The sequence below is a fragment of the Homo sapiens genome, chromosome 11, assembly GCF_000001405.40.
Source record: "Homo sapiens chromosome 11, GRCh38.p14 Primary Assembly".
Lineage (NCBI taxonomy): Eukaryota > Metazoa > Chordata > Mammalia > Primates > Hominidae > Homo > Homo sapiens.
This window is the reverse complement of record NC_000011.10, coordinates 61704828-61731194: the sequence shown is the minus strand read 5'-3', so window position 1 is coordinate 61731194 and position 26367 is coordinate 61704828. Positions and strand designations below refer to the sequence as shown.

The following is a 26367-nucleotide window of genomic DNA, read 5'->3' as shown; positions in this document are numbered from 1 at the left end:
CCCTGTTGAGGTGTGGGGCCCAGGCCTTGGAGGAAGGACACTCCTCCAGGTGATAATTGCATTTCCCTAATTATCTCCATGCAACCAGGACACGAATCCTCAGAGACCTGTCCTGTTGCTCCAGTCTCAGAATTAATGATTTGGGGACAGAAAATCACTTGGTCCATTTCCTTGCCTGTTTTCCAGAGAAGGGAAGAGTTGAGGGATGTGAGTAGTAATCCCCCCACCTCGGCAATCAGCCCTGAGAAGGGCCCTTGATGCTGGGAAAATGTAGCCCTGAGAGGCCCCAGCCCTCCAGCTGGGCGGCGTGTGTGGGCCTTGGGCAACAGGGCAGCCACGCTAGGCCAGGAGACCAATCACCAAATCTCTGGCCCTTGGGTTCTTTGACTGCAAATATTGGGAGCCTTCAACTTGACTCAGCCAGCTGCAGGCTCCCAGGGCTCCGGGCAGGGGCTGCGTTGGTGGGAGACTGGGATCTCTTGGGAGAAAGGCACCAGTTTGAAAGCCAGTGTGTCTGAGGCCCAGCAGCCACTGTTGATGCTGAGGAGGTTATTGGCTGCTGGGGTGGAGGGAGGAAGAGGCAGGGGTGCCCCAGCAAAGTGTCTGCCAGCTTCCAGTCTTTCCCGAGTGCCCCAGGCACCGGGAGAGGGAATTAGTCACCTTGTAAAAGTTAAGGAGGGTGGTTAGTCACCTTGTGAAGTGAAATAGGTGGCACCTTGATCAGGGCCCGGAGGGGTGGAAACATCCCTGGCCAGCTCAGCTGCTCTTCAGGAACGAGAGTGGAGAGGTAATTATCCTCTCCCTGTCAGAAGCTCCCTGCAGCCCTGGGGGCGGGGTGGGCCCTGGCAGCCTCTGCCAGGTGGCAGGTGTGACCCTGGCACCTCGATGGGAGTCACTTGATGGGAGTCACAGCTGCCTGCCCTCCCCGCTCCCTGTGAGGAGTGGGAGGGAGAAGGTGGTGAGAACAGCCAGGGCAGAGCCTGGCAAGCAGAAATGGGCTGGTTTGGGGCACTTACTATGGATGTGGCTATTTTTAGAGAGGATACAAATGCCTGCTTTAGTGGGGAGTAGGGACAGGCAGGGAGGACTGAGGCTTTTCTAGAGGACTGAGTGTTGGTTTTTTTTTTTTCTTCTTTTTAAGGGACAGTGCAGCTGGAGTGCAGTGGCAATCATAGCTCACTGCAGCCCTGATCTCCTGGGCTCAAGCAATCCTCCTACCTCAGCCTCCCAAGTAGCTGGGGTCACAGGCATGTGCCACCATGCTTGGCTAATTTTTTTTTTTTTTGTAGAGACAGGGTCTCACTATGTTGCCCAGGCTGGTCTCAAACTCCTGGCCTCAAGCAATCCTCCCACCTCGGCCTCCCAAAGTGCTGGGATTGCAGGCACAAGGCAGCACACGTGGCCTAAAGGACTGAGATTTCTAAGAGACGGAATCCTTTCCATCAGCATCCTGGCTGGCACCGAGGCTTCCTGGCACTGTGATGGGAATGGCTCGTGTCCTCTCAGCACAGCTCTGGTAGAAGGTGTGCCTAGTGTCATTTCACAGATTCAGGATCCAGCTCAGAGGGGATGAGGGGCCTGCTGGAGGTCGCAGCGACAGGCATCAGAGCAGATGCACGCTCCAGCCATTTGCTTCCTGAGGCAGGGCCTGTTTCTCCCGGCTGCCAGCTGTGGTTTCAGCCTGGGCTGTACTGGGCCCTGGGCTGTACTGGGCCCTGGGCTGTGTGCTGGGCCCTGGGCTGGGGTTCTCCCACCATGTTACTGGCACCACCTTTCCCTATTACACACTGGATTTCTACGAAAGGCGATTGAGAAAAGGTTCCACTACTAAAAAAGCTTGGAAACCAAGTACTACGCCCATTGCGTTTCATTAACAGCAGCAGCAGCAGCAAAAATGCTAGCAGCTCACCCTGGTAAAGTGCTCTGTCATCTCAAGAGGCCAGGACCAGACACTTCTGAACTTGGTAAAGGAATTCAGGGGATTTGTCTGTCGAACCGGTGTGAAGTGGGTGGTTCTCGTGAGGGGCATGATCTGAGCAGAGAGGCTCTCTGGAGAGCCGGGGGGAGACCGGGCAGGGGCAATGTGGCTGGCACTGCAAGGGCAGCTGGGAGGAGTTTGCTTAGGTCATTGTGGCAGAGTGGGAGGGATGGGGACGGGGTGGGGTGAGAGTTGATGTCTGACTCACTGAATTCTTGAGGTCGAGGTACTTGGTGTTTCTGGTCACCGGCATCCCAGACAGGAAGGCCAAGATGTCATTGTTTGCCTGTAAGACCGGCAGGTGAAGAAGGACAATCACTGGCCCAGGCCCGGCTGCATGGCTGGGAAAGGGGGCCCAGGCCCTGGCGTCCGCCTGCTTCCCAAAGGCCGAGAAGCCCAAACGAGCATGCAGCTTCTAGTTCTTCCAAGATTCAGCCACTTTTCCAAAATCTGAGGTTTCCCCATATTTCCAGATGCTCCCCTTCTACCCAAAACATCAAGCCCCTGAGGACATTCCTGGCCCACAGCAGGCGAAAGGTATTTTGTATGAGACACTGAGAAACCCTAACTGGGGTTGGTGTGCTGGTGGGGATGTGGGGTGGGCGGAGCGGCCACGCAGAAGACCGACTCGGGAGCTCACCACGTCCACTAAGCCTGTGGTTAGAAGTCCTTTGAGGGCCAGCCCCAGAGGCAGCCATGCACGACCCAGAAAGTCCCTAGAGTAGTAGTCACGGAAAGCCTGGCCGAAGGACAAGCTCAGGAAGGCAGGGGGAGCCAGAGGTAAAGGTGACCTCCAGGGTCCAAGAGAGTGCGTGGTCACTGGGGAGCTGCGTGGGAGCCGAGCCCTCCGCTGCAGGGGCCACAGGGAAGGGGCCTGAAAGAAGGGTGGTGTGGAGAGGTGACCTGGAGAAGGGGCTGGTGGTGCTCACCTCGTCCAGCACGGCGTTGCGCTTGGCCCGCTGCCGCTGCCGGAGCAGCACCAGGCCAGCAATGATGTCGGATGGCACAATGTCAAGGTCCCGGAAGAACTCCGCAAAGAGGTAGGCGATTTCTGAGTAGGCATCCTACGAGGTCCAGGAAGGCAGGAGGCAGTGGCAGGGGAGCAGGAGAGAGGACGAGAGGCCAGGAGTAAATCCCCCAGGGCTGGGAGGCTGCAGAAGCAGGTGTCTGCTCGGGGTCCCCTGGACAGGTTCTCCCCAGCACCTCCACAGCGCCCACTGAGCCTGACCCCATGTGGCCCTGTGACCCTGAGGGCCCTGCCCAGGGCTCCTAGACCTGGCAGTAGCCACCCAGCCCTCTCCTCTCCTTGGAATTCGCATGGTGCCCACTGTCTACCAAGAGCAGGCGCCAACTTGAGCCACTCCTTTTTGCTTTCCCAGACGCTAGAATCAAGGCCGGGTGGCTCTGGCTCATTTCTCCTCTAGCCATTCTCTCCAGCACAGAAACCAAACTAAGCTCCTGGCTGCCTCTGACCCACCAGCTGGGACCTTGGAAGTCCCTCGTAAGGCCTCTGTGGAGCCTGCCAGGTCTCAGGGCCCCTCCCCCAGCTACCCACAGGCTGCTGGCTCAGTGACCCCCACAATGTGCCCTAGAAGGGGGTGTACTCTCTGGCCCAGTGGTCCCCCATGGCTTCTCTCCAGGCCCTTGGCCTGAAGACAGTGCATGTCTGGGCCTCAGGGCAGGAGGCGAGCCCTGCTGGCTGGTGCCCTCTTAGTCTTCCCTTCCTGGCCCCAGGCTGCAGCCCAGAGCCTCTTCCCTAACCTGTTAGGAGACGCTGAGGTGGGAACAACCACATGGCAATGAAGTCTGTCTCACTGGGTCTCGCCCCTGAGTGTTTGGCACTTGTAAGTGACTAAATCAAGGGCTGCAAATTCAAATGCCGAATGGAGCCAAACGGAGCCAGATACTGCTCGGCTCCAGCTGACCGGAGGCCCTCCAGGGCCCACTTCACCAGATTCAGAAATACAGAAGTTTATGGAAATACCCCTGATTTTTAAATGCTGGCATCCAATTAAAATGTGTAAGCAACACAACACACGCTGATCAAAACATGCTTGGGACCAGACCTGCCCCCTGAGGCCATCAGTGTCTAACAGGACCTTTGCCGTGGGGCTCTGCTGTGATGTGCTATCTTTTCCCCAGACTCTGACAACAGCCCCAGCTCTGCCCGTGCACCCAGAGGGGCAGGCGTGCCCTCCACACAGCAGCCCCAGCCTCCATCCGCCAGGGGCCGGCTCTCTGCCCTCTGCATGGCCTGCCTTGCAGCCCAGACCCCTCAGACCGCCCCAGAGAGACCCAAGGGGGTGCTCCCCGCCCACCAGGGAACCTCGGGGGCTTTCTTACACTTGATTACTCACTCTACGGCTCACCAGGGGACGCTGGTGGGCAGGAGCCACTCGAGGCTTCCCGGTGGCTTCCGTGGAAGGCACTTTGCTGTCTGCCTCAGGGAGGAGTGGTCTCCTGACCTCACTGGCTCTGCTACTAACTAGCTGTGGGACGCTGAGCAAGTCACTCCACCTCTCTGGGCCTCAGCTGCCTGATCTGTAAAATGAGGGGTGGGACTAGATGATCTCTAAGGTCCCTGCCCGCTGCGGGGCACCCCTGGATGATCCCGGGGCCTGCCTCCCTTCCCTCCCCTTGGGGGCCGCCCCCAGCTGGCCCTGTCTTCCTTCTGCAGTGCCCTGGCATTAAGTCCGGCCCTCTGGTCACTCCTCTGAGCTCCCAGGTGCTGAAGGCTATGTGTCCCCATCTAGGACCGTGCTAAACGCCTATCGGCTTTGCCAGGCCTTCTTGATTAATTTGCTGCTGGTGAAACGCTACTTTTCTTTGTCTTCAGGTCACCCTGACTTTGCATATTTCTTCTCCTTAAACTAGAGTATAAGTTCCAAGGGAGTTGATGCAGTCTTCACAGCTTTCTGTTCCCTTGACAAAGCAAGTGGACGTGGTCCTGCGTGCTGGAGCGAGTGGCTCAGTGAATAACAGGCCCTGTGTGAGCAGGCCATACTTGCTCACGCTGGAAACCCAGCTCCTTCCCACCAGCCCTGCCCCATCCTGCTTTGCCAAAGGAGCCAACAGCCCCTTAATCACCTGACCACAGGATGTGAGCCAGAGGGGAGCGACCTCCCAGTACTTACTGACTGGGAGTCCTTCGTCCGCGTGCAGCAGAGGAACACTTTGAGCCGGCGCGACCAGCTGGTGGCTTGACCCTCCTCTAAGCGGTGCCTGCAAAGCAGGAGAGGCGGTATGTGTGAGGTCAGAGGGCTGGACCAGAAGAGCTGGGACCCAGACGTTATGGAAACAGGGCAGGCTGTTCCCAGGACCCTACCAAAGGGTTCCCGCAGTGGGTTCTGGGGGAGAACAGGGCCCAGGCCCTGCCAGAGCTGGTGGCCAGTGGCCTGGCTGCTGGCCAGCAGGGGCCCTCCCTGACAGACTCCTGCTAGCCTAAGATGGTGTGTGCCGTTGGCCAAGGGTGGGTGGGTGGAAGAGAGAGGTGGGGAGCAGTTGAGAGGCTCCTTGGCTTTTGGAAGACTGAACACAGGCAGGCTCTGGGGCTTCAGAGCTGGGAGCCCTAAGTGGGGGCTACCCTGCAGCTCAGGTGTCCAAAGGCTCAAACCCTGGGAGGTCAGCAGGGTGTTGGGCCTCCCTGTCGTCTCATTCTAAGGCCTGGAACAGACCTTCCAGAAAGACCTGCTTTTCCCCAGAAAGGATTTCAGACACTTACATACTTACATACTCTACTTACAGGAAATCTATGGGGCTGAGTAAGGCTCTGCATTTCCCAATTCCTTGGATCTGATACCTAGGTAGGGAGAGGGCTCTACCCCTCACCCACATGGTTGCCCTTGTCTATTCTCACCCCCCAACCCCATCCCCAGTGGGTCTGGCTGCTCAGATGGAGAATCAGGGTCTCCAGGAGTCTGTACCCAAAGGCAGAGCAATGGGCCAGTTATTCACAGAGGTTCCTCCTAGGCTGGATGTCTGCAGTCAGTGTGTTGAGCATAAAGATAACAGATCCAACATTAAAAGTGCAGACCTCCAAACCGAGCAAGAAGGGGCTAGCTTGCTTTTGTGCCATGTGCGGCCCCTTAAAAGCCTGATGCTGGGTGGTCAGGAGAGGAAGGCAAGGGTGGCCCTCATATGCATTCAAGGCACTTAACATCAATCTGTAGTGACAGGCCAGGCCCTTTTTGAGCCTCTTGGCTCCTCCGTGTGTCTAAGGACCGCTTCCCGCTCTCCAACCCTGGCTTCATAAGGCAAATGGCCACAAGGAGAAGGAGGGCAACAGGGTCTTCCAGGGCTACGGGAGGCAGGTAGGGAAGGGTGCAGGGAATTGCTACTCTGGGGACCTGCTGGCTCTTAGGGACTTGGACAGCTGTACATCCTAAACCAATGTCCCACCTTCTGGGGCATGAAGGGACAGTGTGCTGGCCAAGCAGGGTTCCCAGAGCACTGTGGGATGGGTGGTGGTGGCCAGCTGGGCTGGGAGGGAATATGGGCTTTGGGGCCTTGGCTCCCAGACCTGACATTTTGGGCTGGGACGTGGCCACAGCAGGCACGGGTGTGGCTCTGGCTGCAGTGCTGAGCTGACGTGGAAGGTCCACGGGGAGCCGAACACAGCAGTGCAGGAGGGTGGGACGGTGAGAATTCCTGCCGGGCAGCGGGGGTCCAGACAGCCTGCTCCCCAGGTGCTTGAGCCAGCTGCTCTGGGCTGCAGGTGTGGTGCCAGTTCTGCACCCCAGCAGCAAGACCCACGGCAGGTGACCTGCCCTCTCTGGGACTTGGATTCCTCATCTGTAGAATGGATCTCACAACCATGCCGGGGTTCACAAAGGGATTAAATGGATGAATTGCGTAAAGGGCTTGGCATGGGGAGCTCCTTACATAATGCACTGTAGAAGCCCCATTAACAGGAGGTACTGGGACCCACCCTGGAAGCCCCTCTCTTTTTCTTTCAACAAACAAATTATTGTGACACTACCTGGATGCCCTCCCTCATTTTGTCTGCCATGGCACACTTTCCCCCATCTTTAAAACATCATGCAAAACTCACCCCCTCTAGGAAGCTTTCCTTGACTTGCCTCTCCCAATCTCTGAATCCTAGAGGCAGCCTAGCCTAATTTAATAGCTAGTTAAGCGAGGACTCTAAGGCCAGACTGCCTGGGCTAGTTCCCAGCCTTACCATTTTCTAGCTGTGTAACCTCAGGCAAGTCCCATCATCTCTCTGTACCTCAGTTTCTCCACCCATATTATGGGGAAGTTGACAGCTGTGTGGTGGACTTGTAACTTACTACACGCAATGCTTGGCTTCACTGTTATTACCATTGTTATTATCAGCAGTGGACAATGATGACAACAACTACTATTAACCGAGCACTTACCCAGTGTGAGCACTGTGTTAGTCACTCTGCAGGTATTAGCTCAGTTAAATCTCACAACAACATGAGACAAGAATTGTTATTATTCCCACTTTATAGACAAGGAAACTGAGGCAGGGAGCAGTTAAGCCCTTTGACTAATGCCCACGGCTCACACGAGGTTGGCATGCAGTCTGGGAGGCCTGGGGTAGCCTTCTGAAGAATGGAGACCTCTGCTCACCAGACAGCAAAGCCCACCCTGGGACTGCCCACCCAGCCCGCTGACTGACCGCAGGTTGTAGGTCCGCAGGTTACGCTGCCTCCTCTTGGTGGCTCTCAGCTTGACAAAGGTGCGGCCCGTGGGGTCGAAGACGCAGAGGACAGTGATGCACACACTGAGGATGACTACCCAGTTGCAGACAACCATTCCTGCGGGCAGCAGTGGGAGGCATTAGGTAGGGGCGCTGGGGACACCTCTCTGGCTCACCCGCTCTGAAGAAAGGGACATTGGAGCCTCCCTAACCCCAAATGCTTCTGGGGACAAAAGCCAGGCTCCAAAGCCCCTGGTCCCAGTCTCTGGCCACATACGTGGCCACCCTATTGCCCACCCACAACCCCAAGGGCCACTCTTGGCTCAGAGCAGGCAGCTCTGTGGGTTTCCAAGGAGGTGCTGAGGAGCCTCGGCTTGACCTGAGCAGCTCTGTGCCTGCTGCAGCCCACCCCAGACCAGGTAGCTGGCAGGCCTCAAGGGTGAGGGAAGCAGTCTCGCCCAGCCAACCTGCTGGTGCCCCCACAGAAGGCACTGCCCTCTGGCAATGCCCAAGCTTCTTCCTCTCTAAACTGATCTCGTCCCCTGTGCCCCCGGGGCTGCTGAGGCTCCAGCAGGCCTCACCCAGACGTACCGAGGGTGACATTCTTGGCAGTGAGGTCGTTGCAGGAGGTGTAGTACTGAGTGAGCCAGACGATGCCCACGATGGCGTAGATGAACTCGATCACCAGGATGGCTGCAAGGAGAGCAGGCCTGGCTGAAGGATGGCTGCCACTTGCATGCCAGGGAAGGGCCTAGAACCCCGGCCTGGCCTTTCCTATCGCTGGGCTTTCAGCCAGCTCAGTAGCAAAGGCAGAGGCAGCGGGCCATTAGCAGACCCCCCACCCCCCGCCTCCCAGGCCCCAAGCCCGTCCTGTCACCATTTGGTCCTGTTGGCCCCTGAATGACCGCTTGCAATGTGCCCACCACCTCTCCTAGCTTCTGTGCTCTCAAGTCCCCGGGGCATCCCTGATGGAGTTTTGCTCTTGTTGTCCAGGCTGGAGTGCAATGGTGTGATCTTGACTCACTGCAACCTCTGCCTCCTGGGTTCAAGAGATTCTCCTGCTTCAGTCCCTAGGGTAGATGGGATTACACGCACCCACCACCAGGCCCAGCTAATTTTTGTATTTTTAGTAGAGACGGGGTTTCGTCATGTTGGCCAGGCTGGTCTTGAACTCCTGACCTCAAGTGGTCCACCCGCCTCGGCCTCCCAAAGTGCTGGGATTACAGGCATGAGCCACCGCGCCTGGCCCATTTCCTCATTCTATCAGGATCTCAGAATCATGTCTGAACTGTGGAATCAGACACATCTTAGGCAAGTTTCCTAATCTCTCTGAGCCTCCATTTCCTCATCTGTAAAATGGGAGTGACAACATTTATGTCATAGGACTGTGCAAAAATTAGATGAGAGCGTGTTCACTTCATGGAAACTATTTCCCAGCAAGAGGCCTCTGGAACCTGATGGAGGAGAGAGGAAGGGCCCAGCAGCTGGTCTGCATCCAGCTCAGGCCCCTCAGGGGCTGAGACTGGAGGGGAGGGGTATGGAGTGGTGGCTGAGAAGGAGATCTGCTGGCCTCATGGGGGCAGCCTGGAAAGCCCCAGCTGCACGGGCAGCAGTGTGGCAGCTCAGAGACCAGACTTTGGAGCCAGACAGCGTGGGTTCAAATCCCAGCTCCGACATTTACACGCTTACTAGTTGTGTGAGAGCTAGGCCTGGGCCCCAGTTTCCTCATCTATAAACGGAGACCAATAACACCCACTCCCTGTGAGTTAACACAGGAAAAAGGGCCTAGCCCAGTGCACAGAAGCACAAGAGCAGTGTTCACTACAAATGACCAGAAGGGGCTGCAACCTAAGCCCAAGAAGAGGACACAGGCTGGTCCTCTGGGGAGCTGGCCCAGACTCCTGAGGGGGTTCCCAGGAAGCAGAAGGCCTGTTTTGAGAAGGATCACAAGGAAGATATGCTTTGAAGAGATGCACATGGTTGAGGATGGGGTCAGCACCTTTTCCTGTAAAGGGCCAGAGAGCAAATATCTTGGACTCTGGGAGTCCTACAGTCGCTGTAGTAACTACTCAACTCGGCTGCTGTAGGGGCAAAGCAGCTGGAGACAATACCTTACTGAATGGATATGTGCCAATAAAACCTTATTTTCTTTTTTTTTGAGATGGAGACTTGCTCTGTCACCCAGGCTGGAGTGCAGTGGCGCAATCTCGGCTCACTGCAACCTCTGCCTCCTGGGTTCAAGTGATTCTCCTGCGTCAGCCTCCCAAGTAGCTGGGATTACAGGCGTGTGCCACCACACCTGGCTAATTTTTGTATTTTTAGTAGAGACGGGGTTTCCCCATGTTCGCCAGGCTGGTCTCGAACTCCTGACCTTGTGATCCACCTGCCTCGGCCTCCCAAAGTGCTGGGATTACAGGCATGAGCCACCACACCCAGCCTAAAACCTTATTTAATAACACATACAGCAGGCTGGATTTGGCCCTCAGGCTGCAGTTTGCTGGCCCCTAGTCTAGAATGTAAGCTACAGAAGGCCTTAGTTCACTGCTGTACCCCAGTGCTAAAACAGGGCCTGGCTCGCAACATGTGCGCAGTAAATACTGGCTGAGTGAATGGAGAGGTGGGAGTTGTCTGGGGCAGCACCCCAGGGTGGGTGGCCCTTACCCAGGCGCACGTAGAGCACGTACTGCATGGAGTCACGGGGCTCCGTGTAGAGGATGCCCCCGCGCATGCTCAGCCAGATGATGGCCATCTCAGCGATCATGCAGCTCAGCAGGATGCCCAGGTAGCCGCGGCCGTGGTCCACCAGGTTCAGGGAGCAGGCCTCGTGCGGGTTATAGACCAGGCCGAAGAGCACCACGGACAGGATCACAAACCTGTCACAGGAACGCCCGTGTGAGCAAGGCCAGGTGGCCCCTGTACCTCGAGATGCTACTAGCAGGCAGGCCCTTCCCCAGCCCAGATTCAGTGGAAGGAGGGCTGGCAGCAGGCACCTCCTCCATAAGACCATTGTCCACCTGGCATCGAATGCCTAGAAGGGCATGGGCGGCCAGTAAAAGACTCAGGGTCAGCCATGGGGAGACAGTAGCAGCAACTCCCCCCAGTGTTGGGGTCAGGTCCAGCAATGGTAGCAGGGGTGTCATTGCCCTAAGGGGCTAGATGTTTCAGGCACCTCCTCCGGGCAGCTGGGGGCATGACAGGGTTGGGACTTGGGCCCAAGCAGGGAGGAACAAATGGCCAGAAAGCGTCCTTCCAGACCTTTCTCTCCAAACCCAGGCCTGTGGCCCCGGGCCTGGGGACTCACCAGGTGGTATGCAGGAGAAAGAGGAAGATGGCCGGTAGGACGAGGTCATCACTGCCCACAGACCAGCGCCGCCGGAACACCACGATCCCGGGCATGGCTGGTGGCTCTGCAGAGGCTCAGTGGGCCTGGTGCTCACCTCCTGAAAGAAAGCAGAGGACCTTATAGCTGCCTGAGGAGGTGAAGGCACCCAGGGCCACTGCATTCCTTGGGCCACGGGACCAGTCCCCGGTGTGGCCAGAAGCACAGGCATTTTTGGAGCTGGCCACTGGAAGTGCTGACCCACCTCCGGGCAGGAGCCAACACAAAGGACCTTAGCAGCAGGACACAGACTTCAGCCTTCCCCCTGGAGTCTCTCCTGTCCCCCGAGACTGGTACTGGCCACTAGGGATCGGCTTCTACCTGGGGTTACCCCAGCAGTCACTGTTGAGCTCTATTAAAGACCCCGTTTCCTCCTTCATGGGATCAGTGGGACCCTCAGCCCAGCCCTCAAACCCTATAATCTTTAGACCTGGCCCAGTGCACACTGTCCTTGGAGTCAAGGGAGGGGCTTCCCAGACCAAGAACAAGCCCACCCAACAGCACAAAGCCCAGCAGGGCAGGAGGAAGGCTGAAGGCCTTGGGAAGGTGGGGGCAAGGGACCCTGTATGGTTGGCAGCTGGGACTGACAAACATGGAAGGTGAGGAGTGCCTGGCATAGAGCAGGTGCTCAGTAAGTATTTCTTGAATGAAGGCTTCAGTTTCCTGCTTTGCTGGAAGCCAAGAGCGTGCTCTATGACTTGGTTTTGAACCCATCAGACAGAAGTCCCCACCACAGCTATGCCTCCAGGGAGGGAAGAGCACGGTTGAGGTGCAGGGTCAGGAGTAGGGCTTGGGACACCTTCCACCCCACACTGCTGGAAGGATGGGGTAAGCCCTGCAGGGTCACACCCCTCCTGGCAACCATACCTCCCAAGCCCACCCTGAGCCATGCAGCTTTTCCAGCTGGATTTTCAACTCTCTGAAGTAGCTGAATTCAAATCAGCCCCAAGCAAGCTCAGGAAAGAGTGCCCAGGAACTCAGGGCCCTCACTCCTTAGCATCCCAAAGAGAAAGGAAGCAGCATGGGTGGGAGGTGACCCCACAGGGAGCTAGGTCCCCAGAGATACCCATAAAGGGCTCCAGGGTAGCTCTGCACTAAACTGCTGCAGGGGGCTGGGGACCAAGTTGGTGGGCAGCTGTCCCCCGCCGGGGGCCAGTAGAGGCTTACATGGCACCTGGTCCGGGGCAGGCGGCAGATCCTCCTCTCCCCAGTGGCGGCTCCAGGGAAAATGTGTGTCCGAGGAGCCCGGCATCATTCGGGGAGGAAGCAGCCAAGTCTCCCTTGGCCAGTGGGCATAGCCCCCAGGGTGGGCGAGAGGGCGTGGGGCCAGGTGGCCAGCCCGCATGTCCGCCCGGCCCGCCTCCCTATCCCCGGTGCAGCCACTTGGCGAGCTGTGGCCTGGCGGGCTGGCGGGCTAGCCTGCCGGGGTCGTGCCTACTCCTCCCCCCACCCTCAGGAAGTGACATCATCCCACTCTCTCTCCAAGGAGGAGTCGGAGCTCAGCTTCTGGGAGGCAGGGAGAAGGGTGGAGAGTGAGGGAGCATGGTGGTGGGGTGGCTGGGCTTTGGGGGTGGGGGGTGGTCTGTGGACTGCAGGGGTCCGGGGCGTCAGCAGTGCCTGTGACATGTGGCTGACAGCACCAGCTTCAGATTAGGGTTGGACACGATAGGACAGGAGGGGGGGCTGGGGCACCGTGGGTGGCAGTTGGGCTGGGGCAGAACAGAGCTGCCAACAGCTGGTATTGCCGCCCCCTCCCTGTCTCCAAGTAGCTCACAGAGGGTAAGGTGCAGCGCTGGGTCGGGCTCAGGGGGCTGTCGGGGCTGCCAGGAGCCCCTCACATGAATGGAACAGAATGAAATGGAATGAATCTAGAGGCTGGGGGGGCAGTACGCCCCCGCAGGTGCTGTAGAGCCGCATCCTGCTCTGATCTGGCCAGACCAGGGGAGGAGGGAGCAGTGCTGTCCCAGAGGGGCTGGCTGGAGGGCTAGGGTCTGGCCCTACCCAGCCTGCCCCCAGGCCTGCCTCTGCCAGCAGCCAAGAATATCTCCTTCTCAGGTCCACCCCATGGATGGCCCCTCTCAGTCACCCTGGGAGGTCCCTCCTCTCACTCCCACCCTTGGACCCATGGAACCCAGGATAGCTAACACTCCTCGAGATCACACACCATCCACCCAACACACACACTCACTCTGCACTCCCCTCCTCTGCCCGAACAATGCCCGCTCGCTTCAGCTCTCAGGCTGGAAGGAGTGAGCCGAACCTGGCCCTGGGCCCTGCAGAGGTGAGGTGGCTGAAGGACTGTCAAGACGCTGGAGGGATATGACCAGTGGTAACCACTGCCCCCACCTCAGGGTGACCAGCCTGAGGCCAATTGCCATGGTCAACAGCAGTACCTACCTAGAGTATGAGGCGGGGCTCCTGGGGGCCGACCCTGCTGGGTACCCAGTGACAGGCCTGCACCAGTGGCCGGCCCACCACCATAGAATCCGAGGCACAGAGGCTGGGACACAAGTGCCAGGCTGGCTGGTTTTGAACCTGGGCTCTACCACGTACCCACTGTGTGACTTATTAGTCGTGCCTCAGTTTCCTCAACTGTAAAATGTCGATTTGTAAAATGTCGATTATCCCTACCTCCTAAAGTCCTGGTGAGAATCACATGAGAGGTCTGCAGAGGCTCTAGCTGTCTTAGCTGGGGCGGGCGAGGCGGAGGGAGTGCAAGGAACCCCTTGCTGGACCAGCCACCCCTCCCGCCTGGGCTGGTGGAATCTCCGGCTGGTCACCAACAAGTCAAGGTCTGGGGTGGGGGTGGCAGGGCCTGTGCTGCATAAGGGTTGGGGGTGGGCTGCACCACTCTCCAGGCCAATTCATACATCTCTTGGGGCTATTTTTAAGGGCCTTGAATGGTGCCCTTTCTCTAGAGACCCCGGCCCATCACAATAAGGGCCTGTTCCCCTGCTGGGGATGTGATTTCATCTGGAGGAAATGTCTCAGGAGCGGGGAGGGCAGAGGCTACTTCCTGGTCTGGGGCTGCCACAAAGCACCTCTTCTGGCTCTCCTCCCCTGGGGCATAGGGTCCTCCCCTCTAACAGCCACAGTGGGGCGGGGGTAGGCGCTGCCTGCCCTTCCTATCCCACACCAGTGGGGCTTCCAGGGCAGGCACGGCATACCTTCCAGCAGGGGCCACAGGGGCACTGCTGGGGGCTCCTCCTGCCTCTGGTTGGACCCCCAGCACAGGCAAGTGTGAATGGGGTGCCAGGACCCCTCTCACATGGATGGAATGACTTAAGCAGCCCAAGGAAGCCTCCTTCTTCCCCCACCCACACAGCCCAATTTTCCTGCTGGTGATTCAGGCCCCTGGACTAAGTACTAACCATTCTGGGAGTTCCTCTTTCTAAAAATGCAAACTCTTTTTAAAAATGCATATGCTGCCCCCTACTTTAAAAACCTTCCTGGCTCCCCATGGCCTGCAGGACAAAGTCCAAGCCCCTCGGGCGGCAGCGACAGGCGGTGCAACCTCAGGCATATGCCTCGCCCTCTCTGAATCCACGCATTCCCTTATCACCTGAGCAGAAAGCGATCCTGGTGCAGACAGACTCCAGCACAGAGCCCACCCTCAGCTGACAAATCCTCTGGCTGGAGAGGCTCTCCAGCACCTTCTTACACTGCCACATCCTTCTTTCTCGACACCCCAAACATGCTGCTCCCCAGAAACACATCACTGGAAGGGTCCATGCTTTGCTTACTCCAGTTCTGATGGGTGAAATCCAACTCATCTCTCTAGGTCAGCTAAAAGTCACCTCCTCTTTGAAGCCCTCCCTGACAGCCCTCATGCAACCCACTCTCCTCCTGGGAAACAGGCTGCTCCCTTATGGGAACCCTAGACCCCTTCCCCCAGCATGGCCCTGGTCACACTGTGTTACGGTTAACCTGCTGACTCCTTGCTGCCCATCCCCACCCCAGCTCAACAGTCCCCGGGGCCAGGGTCTCACAGTACCCATCGCCACACCTCTGGGTGCCAGCTGCAGTGCCTGGCTCCAGCACCTCAGTCCCACCCCATGGCCTCCTCAGCACAGCTCCCCTCCCAGTCACAAGGGCTGAGACAGTGGCTCCTTCCCCCTCTGAGCTCACACCCTTCCCTTCTGGGGAAACGTCCCTCCCTTCCTGACTGTCAGGCTGGGTTCCCACCCCAGTGTCTTCCCTGACAGCTCAGGGAGAACCCTCTCCCCCCCCTCTGGCTAGATGAACTGTTCTGGGACCTCAGTTTCTTCTCTTGTAAAATGGGGCTAACAACATCCCTCTCAAGGCTGTGGTCAGAACAGACTGGGGTGATGTCACTACAGGACTCTGCACAGGTCCTGCACACCCCAAGGATCTGCTGATGGCTGCTGTTGCATTAGCAGACACCTGAGGGGCTTTGTGGGGACCTCCTGTGATGTGACCTGTGACTGGGTGCTGGGGTCTGGAAGGTGCTGCTGGTGCCCAGCTGGTCAGAAAGGGCTGGAGTGAGCAAACAGAAGCCCTGACCGAGGAGCCTGCCCCCACCATGAGTGCTCCGGTGCTGCTGGTAAAAGCACCCCAGGCTGGGCCTCGCCCCCTCGTCCTAAGGTACCCTGTGGGCTTGGCCCTGGGAGCAGATTTTAAGGAGCAGAGTCCCTTGGCAGCAAGACTCCCAGCAGATGGGGCTCCAAGAGCTCCCAGGGGGATGGGGGGGAAGAAGGTACTGGCTCAGCCCTCTGGAGTGTCCACAGGGAACTGGACAATGAGCTTGGGAACCCCCACGAGTGCCACCTCCAGCCCATGAGATTTCCCATCTGGCCAGAGATGGCTTTGGTCATTGGCCTGGGGATGGGATAGAGGTTGTGCCTGAAGGAGGGGATGACAGCCAGGTCCAGCCATAGGGATCCATCTGACATTAGCTGAGCACCTTCTGTGTCCCAAGTCCTGGACTAACCGGCTTCAGTCCTCACAGCAGTAACACAGGGTCGCAGTGTCGCTCTCATTCCACAGTGTGTGCAAGGGGTGGTTAAGACCCTGCACTCTAAAACAGGCTGCATCTGAGTCTTGGCTCTGCCACTTACTGGCTGTGTGACCTTGGACAAGGTACTTAACCTCTCTGTGCTTCAGTCTCCTCACTTCTAAACCAGGGATAAGAAGAGTACCTACCTCCGAATTATCAGGAGGGTTAAATCAGTCAACACTTCAAACAGCGCCTGTCATCTGGTAACTGCTCAGCAAATGCTGCCACTGCCATTACTATTACTACTGAAGAATGAGACTGAGATGCAGAGACTGCCTGACACCATCCGAGGATCAAGAGGCCAGGCAGGCAGGAGGCGCAGGTCATTCCTGCTGCCATCCAAAGCCCACACCTAACAAAGGTCAGAGTTAAAAGGAGTCTCAGAACAGTCCCACTGTCCCCTTTCATGGGCGAGGAAACTGAGGTTCAGAAAGAACACAGAGGCCCTAGCTCTTCCCGTGATATCCATCCCAGCAGCGTCACTGCCAGGTGCTGGACACACAACCCAAGCCCCCAAGCCAGCCTGCTCCCTTCTACCTCACTACATACCCCACTCAAACTCCCCAGTGACAACAGCATTAGTAGCGTGTCACCACAGGGAGCCTGGGCTGAGATCCTCTCTTTCACGATCTTGAAGATGCCTAACCCTCCTAGAAGCCAGCAACATCCACAGAAGCTCCCTCACAGGAGATAAACCTGCAGGGAGGCATCAACCATGTGCCTACTTCAGTCACCTGCGGCTGGCTCTCCTGCCTCCAGCGGTGGAGTCCCTGTTGCTCTGCAGCAGCTGTGGTGACAGAGAGGAGACTCTCAGACAGATCCAGAGAGCCACCTTCCCTGGGCCCCCATTTTACTCCTGCCTCTGGGGGCTGGTGATGGGGACCAGGTCCAGCCACATCCTAGAGCTGCCTGGTGCTGAATGAAGAGCAGTGTCCCCAGGACAGAAAGTCCCAACCCCTCTAGGCCCCAGTAAATCAAAATTGAGGGCCGGGAGGATGAGTCCATTGCACACATGTGAGACATAAGGGCCCCCACGGTTGCTATATGTAAAACTAGCACTGGACGCCACACTTCCTGGTTGCCAAAGTAAATGTGGAAACTGGCAAGTTTGTAAGGGCTCTTTTTCGCTCTGCAGGGTTTTTTGACCCTTGGTGTCCTGAAGGGAGAGCCCAGGACTCCCATTTCCATGACGAATGGGATTCCTATGTGAAAGGGCTTTGAAATTGGAAGGTGGTCCAAAATAGTGGAGAGGAACTGATGCCTACTGCCTGCTATGCTCTCGTGGTCCATCCGATTTTGAATGTGCCTTGTTGGGCACTGGAGCTTATCTGGTCTGGGGGTGGGCATCTGATCTGCGGGACTCAGCACAGTGAGGCTGGGCCCCCCAGTGGTGCCCCGCAGGACACTGGTGGCCCGCCCCCCAGCAGAGGCGTTGTGTTCAGAGGCTCCACCCCAGCTAGGGTGGGCTCACCAGCAGGTCGCTGTCTGGCCTCGCTGGGCTGGCAGACAGGTCCTGCTCTCTTTAGCACAGGCTTTGGTCGTGGTGAGATTCCAGCTGTTCACTGTGGCTGCAGGACTGTGGTAGCGAGTTAACCTCTCTGCACTGGTGAAACTGCAGGCTCCAGGATCCTGGGTAGTGACAGGGACAGAATGATCTCAGCCACCTATAAGTTGGGGACTGGGCTGCTTCGGTTCTCCTAACATTTATGAATTGCCTACAAGGTCTCGGCGCACATCTATGCCCTTTACAAACATGAACTCACCTAGTCCTCATAACAGTTCTGTGAGGTAGGTACTACCCTTCCCCTTATTTGACAGATGAGCTGAAGTGACTTGCCCACAGCCACACAGCCTAGGCCCAGAACCCAGGTCTTTACCTCTGCATGCTGTTTCTGAGAAGCAGGATTCAGCTAAATGCCTGTTTCTGAACTCAAAAGCTGGCTCTAAGCCTCTTCTTACAGACTGAGGAGCTCTCTGGGTCTTCATCTAGCTTCAGACTCACAATCATGTGGGATAGCACGGGACCCATTCTGCAGATGAGGAAAACTGAGCCCAGGGGAATTCCACGGAGCAGGCTGTGGAGTCGGGAGAGAGCAAGGCACTAGAAACACTATGTGTCATCCACCTCCAGCCTCATCAGGCCACAGGGTATTACCCCAACTTTACAGATGAAGAAACCAAGGCTCAGAGAGGCAAAATGGTTTGCACGAAGATCCCTCCACGAGGACATCGCAGAGCTGGGATTTCAAGTAGCTTCCTTGAACTACTTGCAAGAAAAAAATACCCTCTCTGCCTGTCAGTCTGACTCCTTATTGTCACAAACACAGAGACAGTAGGACCCACAGGTCCCACCCCAGGCTCCCGGGGCTACAGTACCTTCCCCTTCTTCCCAGTGGCCGAGAGGCTGGCCTCTGAAAGCACAGGAGGGGAGAGGTGACAAGGGAGACGACGGAGAGAAAGCACGTGTGGGCTGGGGGCCACGTGCGCCACCAGCCTGTACCTGGGTGTGTGCAACCCAAGTTAGGGGCCTGAAAGCTGTCGCTTTTCACACATCAGCTGCGCTAGAGCAGAAGGCAGAGCGGAGCCTGCCCAGGACTGGGGCCAGATTTCAGCATGAGATAGGTCCTCACACGCCCAGGCCTAGGGATGAAAACAGTGTGCCTTGTGCAGCCAGGGGCAGGAGTGGGAGGCCACTGACATTTGTCCCCTCCTACCCGCCGCCCAGGGTCTTAGGCTAACAAACGCCTTTCCCACTCTCCCCCAGGATGGCCTGGAAGGACCAGAGGAGGCACCTCCTCCACCCCTCACCATGTGCCAGCCACATAACCATCCTCACTACAACCCCAGGGGTGGGTCTAGCTGTTCGCATGTCATGGATCGGGAAACTGAGGCTCCAAGAATTTAAAGAAGCTAGCAAGTGAGTGTCCAAGTCAGGCTCTGAAGCCAGGTCTACCTGCTGTGTTCTCTCTGTGCCCTCCTCGTGCTTCTTGGCCAGAGACCCCTCCCCTATAAAACAGCAGTCAGGGAGCTGGGCACAGAGTTCAGGGAGGAGGACGGAAAGAGAAGCTCCAGTGACTTGGGGGCAATGCCAGCCTGGGCCGGACCCAGAAATAGTTCCAACAATTACTCGATCGTGTTTATTTAAAAACAAACTCTTATATAGCATTTACTACATGCTGGTTACTTTAACAAGCAGTTCACAAAAATTACCTCCTTTAATGTAATCCTTTTAACAACCTCTTATGCCCTGTATTATGGATGAAGAAATGGAGGCCCAGAGAGGCTAAATAAGTTGCCCAAGGCCACTCAGCTCTTCAGCGGCAGAGCCAGGCCTGAGGTTGCAGGGCCTGTGCTCCAGGCCTCTCCCCAGAAGGCTTCACCAGGGCTCCATTTATTACCAAGGCTCCAGCTACTCGTTCTCACGCTAATTATTTTCTACTCATCCACAATGAGCAGAATTTGCCATCTGCCACCAGCCCTGCTACTGACACCAGCCAACTCCCTGGGAATCAATTGAGGCCTTTCGTTTCCTGCTGGTTATTTTGGAAAGATGGCTGGCTGCTGGGGAGCGGGAAGTGAGGGCCAGGAGGGCAGCAGCACCCTTCCCTGGCGACCAGGCTGGGCCCTCCTCCTGCCCCCAGCCTTCCTCTGACCTCTCTTCCCAGGGGGATTCACATCAGAGCCCACTCAGTCCTGTGCTCCGACAATGTTTTCCAACAGTGGAAGGAGTCCCCCAGGCTCTGGCCAGACCAGGTCTGGCTTCTGGATTCTTCCTTGGAGATTATTCATTTTTCTGAAACTCAGAACAAGCCCTTGTCCCACACGTCCACATCCCCTCTGGAGAGGCCCAGACAGGCGGGTTCTGCTGGCCTCTGTGATGGGTGCGGCCGGGCAGCCTGGATCTCCAAGCCCTCACGCAAAGGCCGACACCGCCCCACACTGGGTGGCACCAGGCTGTTTTCTCCTGCCTGTCTGTGGGGAAGGGTGTCTGTGGTTTTCGTCCTTTCTACCTGCCCCGGTGGTCTTCTTGGTCAGTCCCCTCATGCCCTAACACGTCTTTACCCCACTCTCCCGGGAACGCGACTCTCTCAAAGGCATCGACTTGGAGGGGGTGGCCATCCAATGAGCTGACCGAGGCCTGCCTTCTGGCCCCAGAGCAGGGCAGCCCGAATTTGAATCTTAGTTCCATCACTTCTAGTTGTCTATGACTGTCACTTCACTGAGCGTCAGTCTCCTCATCTGTAAGATGGAATAATGAAGGTACTCACTTCATAGTGAGTGAGTCATGAGGAGTTAACGAAATAACGCACATAAAGTGCTCAGCTCTTAGAAAACAGGAGCTGCCATCATTGTGATTTAGTAACCATGTCTCCCCAGTGTGCGCAGAACCTTTACCTCACCTTGCATGGCAGGGGCAATAACTCTCCGCGATCTAAGTCAATCTTCCCAAACAGACAGGTGAGCAGGCTGACCCACACCTGCCCTCACCCTTCCAGCCTGCATAATCCTCTGACTTGCCTTCTTGGAAAGGGAGAGCTCCAACTCCTAGGAGCCCAGCACGGCCGCACTGGCACTGCCTCCTTTAATCCACAACCACCCAGGGAGAGGGGACCCAACACCCCTGGGACAGCTTGAGCCACAGAGTTCTCGCCCAAGGCCACAAGACTCTAGAACACTCCAAAGCCTGAGATCCTGCCAGGATGCCCCGCATCTATCAGCTTGCATGTTTGAGTTTCAGGGTGTCTCATTGCAGGCCCCTTCCCAGCTCAAACGCAGGATGCCCTGAGAGGTAGCGGTCCCCCCTCCCTTTAAGCCCATCTGCCCTTCCAGCTTTCCACTGGCCCCACCCTCTGCTCCTCCCCCCAGAGTCACCCCCTCTCCTAGGAGCCACTTGCTGGGACCTCACTCCCCAGATGGCCCCCCTGCCAGGCAGTTCATCAGCTCCCAGCACGAATCCCAGCGCTCTGGCTTCTCAGAACTTCCTTGAGAGGAGACTCCGTCTGGGTGCTGGCAACGCCTCAGTGAAGAATTAGTACCTTCCACTTCATTAGGGGCCCCCTAATGAAGCTGTTAATGATATGCTAAGTGGGCACACCTAGCCTGATGCCTCCCCTCTTGGGGCCCCCGCCCCCTTGCCCAGCCTACCCTGAGCCCTGGTCCTGCTGCCTCCTCTCCTCAGGCTGTGGGTTGGCCCTCGGGGTCTGGCTGGTGTGGGTGCCTGCTGCTCAAAGGTGGGGAGGCTTCGTGGGCCACCTCCCTAAGCTGCATGGCCATCTAGGGCACAGGCTGGCCAACTGGGCTATTGGGTTTCCCTTCGACTGTACCCCGGGCATCTCGGAAGCAAGCAGGGATCAAGTGACTTCGTAACAGGAGCTCTTTCCCCAGGGGAAGAGGTTCTGCAGAGCTCTAGTATGTGACAGGAAGGGCCAACATCCCCTGCCCCCACAGAGACTGGAGAGGGAGGTGGCACCTGCCACCACCAATGGCACACAGGCTGCAGCCCCGTCCCCTCCCTCTGTCACCCTCCTCTCCTTCTGTGCTCAATGAGGGGGATCTCAGTGCTCTTCAGTGGGTTTCCAGAAGCCCTCAGGGACCCCAGATGAGGGGAGGTGGCCATAGTGGGCAGGCTTCAGTGGGCTTGCAGGCAATGTCAACCACAGCAGCTTTCAGCTGCTCTGGATCACCTGAGGTCAGGAGTTCGAGACCAGCCTAGCCAACATGGTGAAACCCCGTCTCTACAAAAAATTAGCGGGGCGTGGTGGTGCATGCCTGTAATCCCAGCTACTTGGGAGGCTATGGCAGGATAATTGCTTGAACCGGGAGGTGGAGGTTGCAGTGAGCGAAGATTGCGACATTGCACTCCAGCCAGCCTTGGCCTCCCAAAATAGCTCTAGGTGACAGAACTAGACTCTGTCTCAAAAAACAAACAAACAAACAAACAAACAAAGTTTGAAAGCCACTAAGCAGGATATGCTCTCAGGTCCATTCTAGTCTGGACTTTTAGAGTTTTACTTGCAGAATGGCCAAGGAGAGAGCCTGGGGGCTACATACAGGTGCCTGAGCTCACACAATGATCACAGCATTTCCTCCCCTCGCCTGAGCCAGGAGGGCAAAAGGGGCCACAGAAAAAAGTCACTGACCCAGAAGCTTAGAGACCTGGGCCTACAGCTGACTATTCTGTCCTTCAGACCTCCCTATCCCCTCCCATCACCCCAGGCAGGGCAAAGCTGGACCCAAGCACAAGGCCTCCAGGAAGGGGCAGGGGCTCAGAAGGCCCCTGCTGCCGGGTGGAGGACAGGACTGGACCCGGCTTTGGTCCCAGTGCCTTGATTTACTCAAACGGCCACAGAGTTGTGACCTTCAATATACAACGCAGCCCTCTCCTCGTCTATAAAATAGGATGAGGATGATGACAGTGCCTCCCTCTTGGGGTGGCTGGGAGGACAAAGCGAGTTAAAAGTTGTAAAGTGTGAGGCTGGGCGTGGTGGCTCACGCCTGTAGTCCCAGCACTTTGGGAGGCCGAGGCGGGTGGATCACGACGTCAGGAGATCGAGACCATCCTGGCTAACACGGTGAAACCCCATCTCTACTAAAAAATACAAAAAAAATTAGCTGGGCATGATGGCGGGAGCCTGTAGTCCCAGCTACTCGAGAGGCTGAGGCAGGAGAATGGTGTGAACCCAGCAGGCAGAGCTTGCAGTGCGCCGAAATCACGCCACTGCACTCAAGCCTGGGCGACAGAGTGAGACTCCATCTCAAAAAAAAAAAAAAGTTGTAAAGTGTTGAAAGCAGGCTCTGGCTCAGAGGAGGAGATTGGTGACATAGAGCTTTAATTAAATCAACCCCCAAGTCGGGCGCGGTGGCTCACGCCTGTAATCCCAACACTTTGGGAGGCCTAAGCGGGCGGATGACTTGAGGCCAGGAGATCGAGACCAGCCTGGCCAACATGGCGAAACTCCATCTCTACTAAAAATACAAAAATTAGCCAGGCATGGTGGGGGGCACCTGTAGTCCTAGCTACTTGGGAGGCTAAAGCAGGAGAATCGCTTGAACCAGGGAGGCAGAGGTTGCAATGAGCCGAGACTGCGTCACTGCACTCCAGCCTGGGCAATAGAGCAAGACTCAGTCTCAAAACAATAAAATAAATAAATAAATAAATAAATACATAAATAAATTCCCTTCTCAAGAGCCTATTATGACTCCTAAATGCCCTTTAAATAAAATTAAAACTCCCAACCATTAGCTATAAAGCTCTCCACCAACCACACCCCTACCCCGCCCTGCCCAGCCCTGCCACCAGCACCCATACCCTCCACCTTGTCTGACTCTGTCCCTGCCGGCCGGGCACGCCCACTCCCAGCTCCTGTCTTTCCACCTGCTCAGCCACTGAGTGCACCCCATGCCCAGGCATTTCCTCCTCTCCAGATGGCCCCGCTTGCTTTGGGCACTCCGCCCCGACATGGCCTCCACAGCCTGCGAGGCCTGCTCAGTGCCTGTCCCAGCTGGCCTTCAGCCCCAGCCCTGGCAAACCAGCCCACAAATGACCAGGTAAGCCCGTGACCCACTTTCCTGCATGCTTCTGGTGTGTCTGCCTCACCTCCTCCATTACACTGTAGTTCCCAAGAAGACCCTGGCCTCCATCTGCCTCTCTCCCAGCCTGTGGGGGAATAGGCCAGGAGGCTCTGGGCAACATAGAGACTGGAAAGGAGAGGGGAGAACAGGCCTCCACGATGAGGGGAACCCCATCAGGCCCCTGACAAGTGCCAGCCTCTGCCTGCCCATGCCTGAGCAAGGCCACTGACCCACTCTGTTCTGGGTAGGTAAGTGCCCATCTGCTCGACCTCTGACCCCAGAATTTGGCATCACTTTCCTTCCCAAGAGACTCGCCCAGCCTTGTCACGCTGTCACTTCTGCGGCCTCTGCTTCCCGACCTGCTCAGGGTGTGGTGGGAGGTGGAGCTGGGGCCACATGCTCGGCACAGCCCCTCTGGCCCCAGTGGCACTTCACTCCCACTTCACGAGGACACGGCAGGGAGGGGGCGGGAGTTTGGCAGGGCTTCATCCCTGTCAACCAGGGGCTGGTGCCCTCGGCCCCCCTAACTATCCGCAGTGGGGAAAAGGCAGGCTCCCGCTAACCCCTGCTGGCCCAGGGGAGGTCAGTGAAGCTGCTGTAACTCCAGGGGATGAACCTTTCCGTGAAGGAGCTGACGGCAACGTCTGAGAGAGACCAGCAGTGCTAATGGGATGCCCAGCTGGGGCTGTCAAGCCAGACAAGGTCCTGGTGAGACCGGCAGAGGCCAAGGCTCCTGCCAGGCAGAAAGTGGCACCTCGTCTCCTCCAGGGTTTGGGGAGGCAATCTGATAATGCCTGCTTCCTCAGCAGGCCCAGTCCTAGGAAGACTCTGGGGTGGGGGTGGTGGTAAGGGAGTCAGCGAGAGCTAGGGGACCTCGGCGGGGTCAGCCTGCGTCACAGCTCATGCTGACTCCTCCACCTTCAGTGGCCGCCGGCTGCTATAAATACCACTCCTGTCTCTGGATGTTGTGGGAGGTGACCTAGAATCATGGGCTCTGAGGCCTCCTGGGTGCACCCCCCGCCTGTTTTAGACAGAGCCTGACGACCAGAAAATCCTCACAGGTTAGAGCCCACCCCCAACCACGAGCAGGGCCCTCGGCCAGCAGATAAAACCCCAACACTGAGGGAGATGGCTTCCAAACCTAGAGCTTCCTCCAACTTGCACCTCGACATGTTCATGGGTGGGGTGCAGACACCAGGTCCCTGGGAGCAGAGCCCTGGCCAGCCCAAGACCCGAAAGAGACATGGCACCCAGGGCCATTGGCTCAGCCTGAGACCTGCTGCCATTCATTCTCCTCCATGCCCACTGCCCTCTGGAGCCCAGCTCAAGGGTGAAGGCTCCAAAGCCATTTGATCCTGAGTCCCTTCCCCGCCCCCAACTTCTCAGTCCTACGGTTGTCCTCGATTCTTGATTCAGCCTGGTTTCCAAACTTGTCACCACCCTGGAAGCCTCCCTGGGGTGTACTCTACTTCGAAAGGGGCCCTGTTAGACTGTTCTGCAGTTGCTCAGATGAGTCCTTGACGATTTCATTCTTCCATTTGGTAGCACGCTTCTGAGTGAGCCCTTCCCTCCTCCAGAGATCCCAGACAGGCCCAGGCCTCAAACCCCAGGCTGGGCTGGCCCAGGAGCAAGGACAGGAGGTGGTCCTGGCCTCGGCAGGTGTGAAGACACCAACACCCACAGATGGCCAGGGCTTGGTTCCAGAGTCCCTGGTTTAGGGCAGGGGCAGGCTCTCAGAGTAGAAAAGGCTGGAAACAGCCCTGAGGGTGGGCCCTGGGTGGTGTGAACACAGGTGAAATCTGGTTAAAGTCAAGTTAGTGCATGCAGCCATTCTCCATCCATCCACAAATCACCAGAGTGCCTACTATGTGCCAGGGATTGGGTGGATGGTGACAAAAGCCGACATGGTGCCAGCCCTTATGGAGCCTGCAGACCAGAAGGAAAGAAACTTCAAGTGAACCTTCACATACAACAAAGAAAAATCCTCTGACACGTGCTCAGGCGGGGAGGCTGCCTATAGAACTAGGAGCTGGAGCTGTTTCTGAAGGACTAGCAGAGGGAAGCAACCACAGGAGAGAGCAGAGCGGAACAAGCACTGGAGGATACCCTCGGCAGCAGGGCCTGGATGTGAGGACAGTGGAGGCCTGGAGGATGGAGAAAAGGCCAGAGTCAGGCCAGCAGAGAGGAGGCCAAAGCAGGCAGGCTGGCAGGGCCAGGCCCTGGACTCTGAGCCTGGGAATGACAAGCCAAGGTGGGTGCGAGGGTGAAGAGAAGTGGGTGGCCCAGATGGAAATTCAGCAGACAAAATGGGGACAGACAGGGCAGGTATTAAGGATGTTTACTGCTCGCTGTAACACTGGCGCTGTCAAAGACGACCCCAGCTGTCTGGCCCGTGCAATTGGGCGGGCAGAGGGGGCACTGGATCCCAGAGGAACGCCTTGAGAACGGAGGCCTGGGGCTGCCCATCCCACCCTCAGAGCAACAGCTCCGGGAGTCAGCCCTGGGCTCTGTGAACACAGGTGAAGTCTGTGTCCTCCCCCTCCCCCCAGTCTCAGCTCAGCCCAGTCCCGAGCTCAGGCGAGCCCGGGCACGGCAGGTCAGGATGTCAGTCCAGGAGTCCCACTCAGGAGCAGTCAGTGGGCTCTGCTCCCACCGCTGAGGGTTCCCAATCATGTGCTTGAGGGGGTTTGAGGCATTTCTCCTGAACATTCAGCTCCCCACTCTTCCTGCCATCCGGGCCCGACCATGAATAGGAC

At 57.2% G+C, this 26367-nt stretch overlaps 1 protein-coding gene across 7 annotated transcripts in view, besides 6 other annotated features; it reads right to left on the bottom strand.

Moving 5' to 3' along the window:
* DAGLA (diacylglycerol lipase alpha) overlaps positions 1-26367 on the bottom strand; it is a 66611-nt gene that overhangs the window by 15807 nt on the left and 24437 nt on the right. For 4 of the 7 annotated variants that reach the window (NM_006133.3, XM_047427543.1, XM_047427541.1 and 1 more), the window contains exons 2-8: positions 10945-11083; positions 10305-10516; positions 8235-8336; positions 7623-7761; positions 5113-5200; positions 2908-3042; positions 2187-2264 (exon numbers count right to left, since the gene is read on the bottom strand). In NM_006133.3, the coding sequence (NP_006124.1) occupies positions 2187-2264; positions 2908-3042; positions 5113-5200; positions 7623-7761; positions 8235-8336; positions 10305-10516; positions 10945-11039 (849 nt within the window). In that variant the 5' untranslated portion in view covers positions 11040-11083. Of the gene's footprint in view, positions 1-2186; positions 2265-2907; positions 3043-5112; positions 5201-7622; positions 7762-8234; positions 8337-10304; positions 10517-10944; positions 11084-12189; positions 12459-26367 lie in introns of those variants that run through there. The other 3 variants (XM_047427540.1, XM_047427545.1, XM_047427544.1) reach the window with 2 other exon arrangements.
* Positions 9892-10676: an enhancer, noted in NCBI's record as "H3K4me1 hESC enhancer chr11:61487991-61488775 (GRCh37/hg19 assembly coordinates)". NCBI's record gives its function as "activates a minimal SCP1, AML or CMV promoter by ChIP-STARR-seq in naive and primed H9 embryonic stem cells {active_cell/tissue: H9 hESC(naive and primed)}" and the evidence as "EXISTENCE:reporter gene assay evidence [ECO:0000049][PMID:30033119]".
* Positions 11464-12249: an enhancer, noted in NCBI's record as "H3K27ac-H3K4me1 hESC enhancer chr11:61486418-61487203 (GRCh37/hg19 assembly coordinates)". NCBI's record gives its function as "activates a minimal SCP1, AML or CMV promoter by ChIP-STARR-seq in primed H9 embryonic stem cells {active_cell/tissue: H9 hESC(primed)}" and the evidence as "EXISTENCE:reporter gene assay evidence [ECO:0000049][PMID:30033119]".
* Positions 12250-13036: an enhancer, noted in NCBI's record as "H3K27ac-H3K4me1 hESC enhancer chr11:61485631-61486417 (GRCh37/hg19 assembly coordinates)". NCBI's record gives its function as "activates a minimal SCP1, AML or CMV promoter by ChIP-STARR-seq in primed H9 embryonic stem cells {active_cell/tissue: H9 hESC(primed)}" and the evidence as "EXISTENCE:reporter gene assay evidence [ECO:0000049][PMID:30033119]".
* Positions 13037-13822: an enhancer, noted in NCBI's record as "H3K27ac-H3K4me1 hESC enhancer chr11:61484845-61485630 (GRCh37/hg19 assembly coordinates)". NCBI's record gives its function as "activates a minimal SCP1, AML or CMV promoter by ChIP-STARR-seq in naive H9 embryonic stem cells {active_cell/tissue: H9 hESC(naive)}" and the evidence as "EXISTENCE:reporter gene assay evidence [ECO:0000049][PMID:30033119]".
* Positions 14609-15394: an enhancer, noted in NCBI's record as "H3K27ac-H3K4me1 hESC enhancer chr11:61483273-61484058 (GRCh37/hg19 assembly coordinates)". NCBI's record gives its function as "activates a minimal SCP1, AML or CMV promoter by ChIP-STARR-seq in primed H9 embryonic stem cells {active_cell/tissue: H9 hESC(primed)}" and the evidence as "EXISTENCE:reporter gene assay evidence [ECO:0000049][PMID:30033119]".
* Positions 15395-16181: an enhancer, noted in NCBI's record as "H3K27ac-H3K4me1 hESC enhancer chr11:61482486-61483272 (GRCh37/hg19 assembly coordinates)". NCBI's record gives its function as "activates a minimal SCP1, AML or CMV promoter by ChIP-STARR-seq in primed H9 embryonic stem cells {active_cell/tissue: H9 hESC(primed)}" and the evidence as "EXISTENCE:reporter gene assay evidence [ECO:0000049][PMID:30033119]".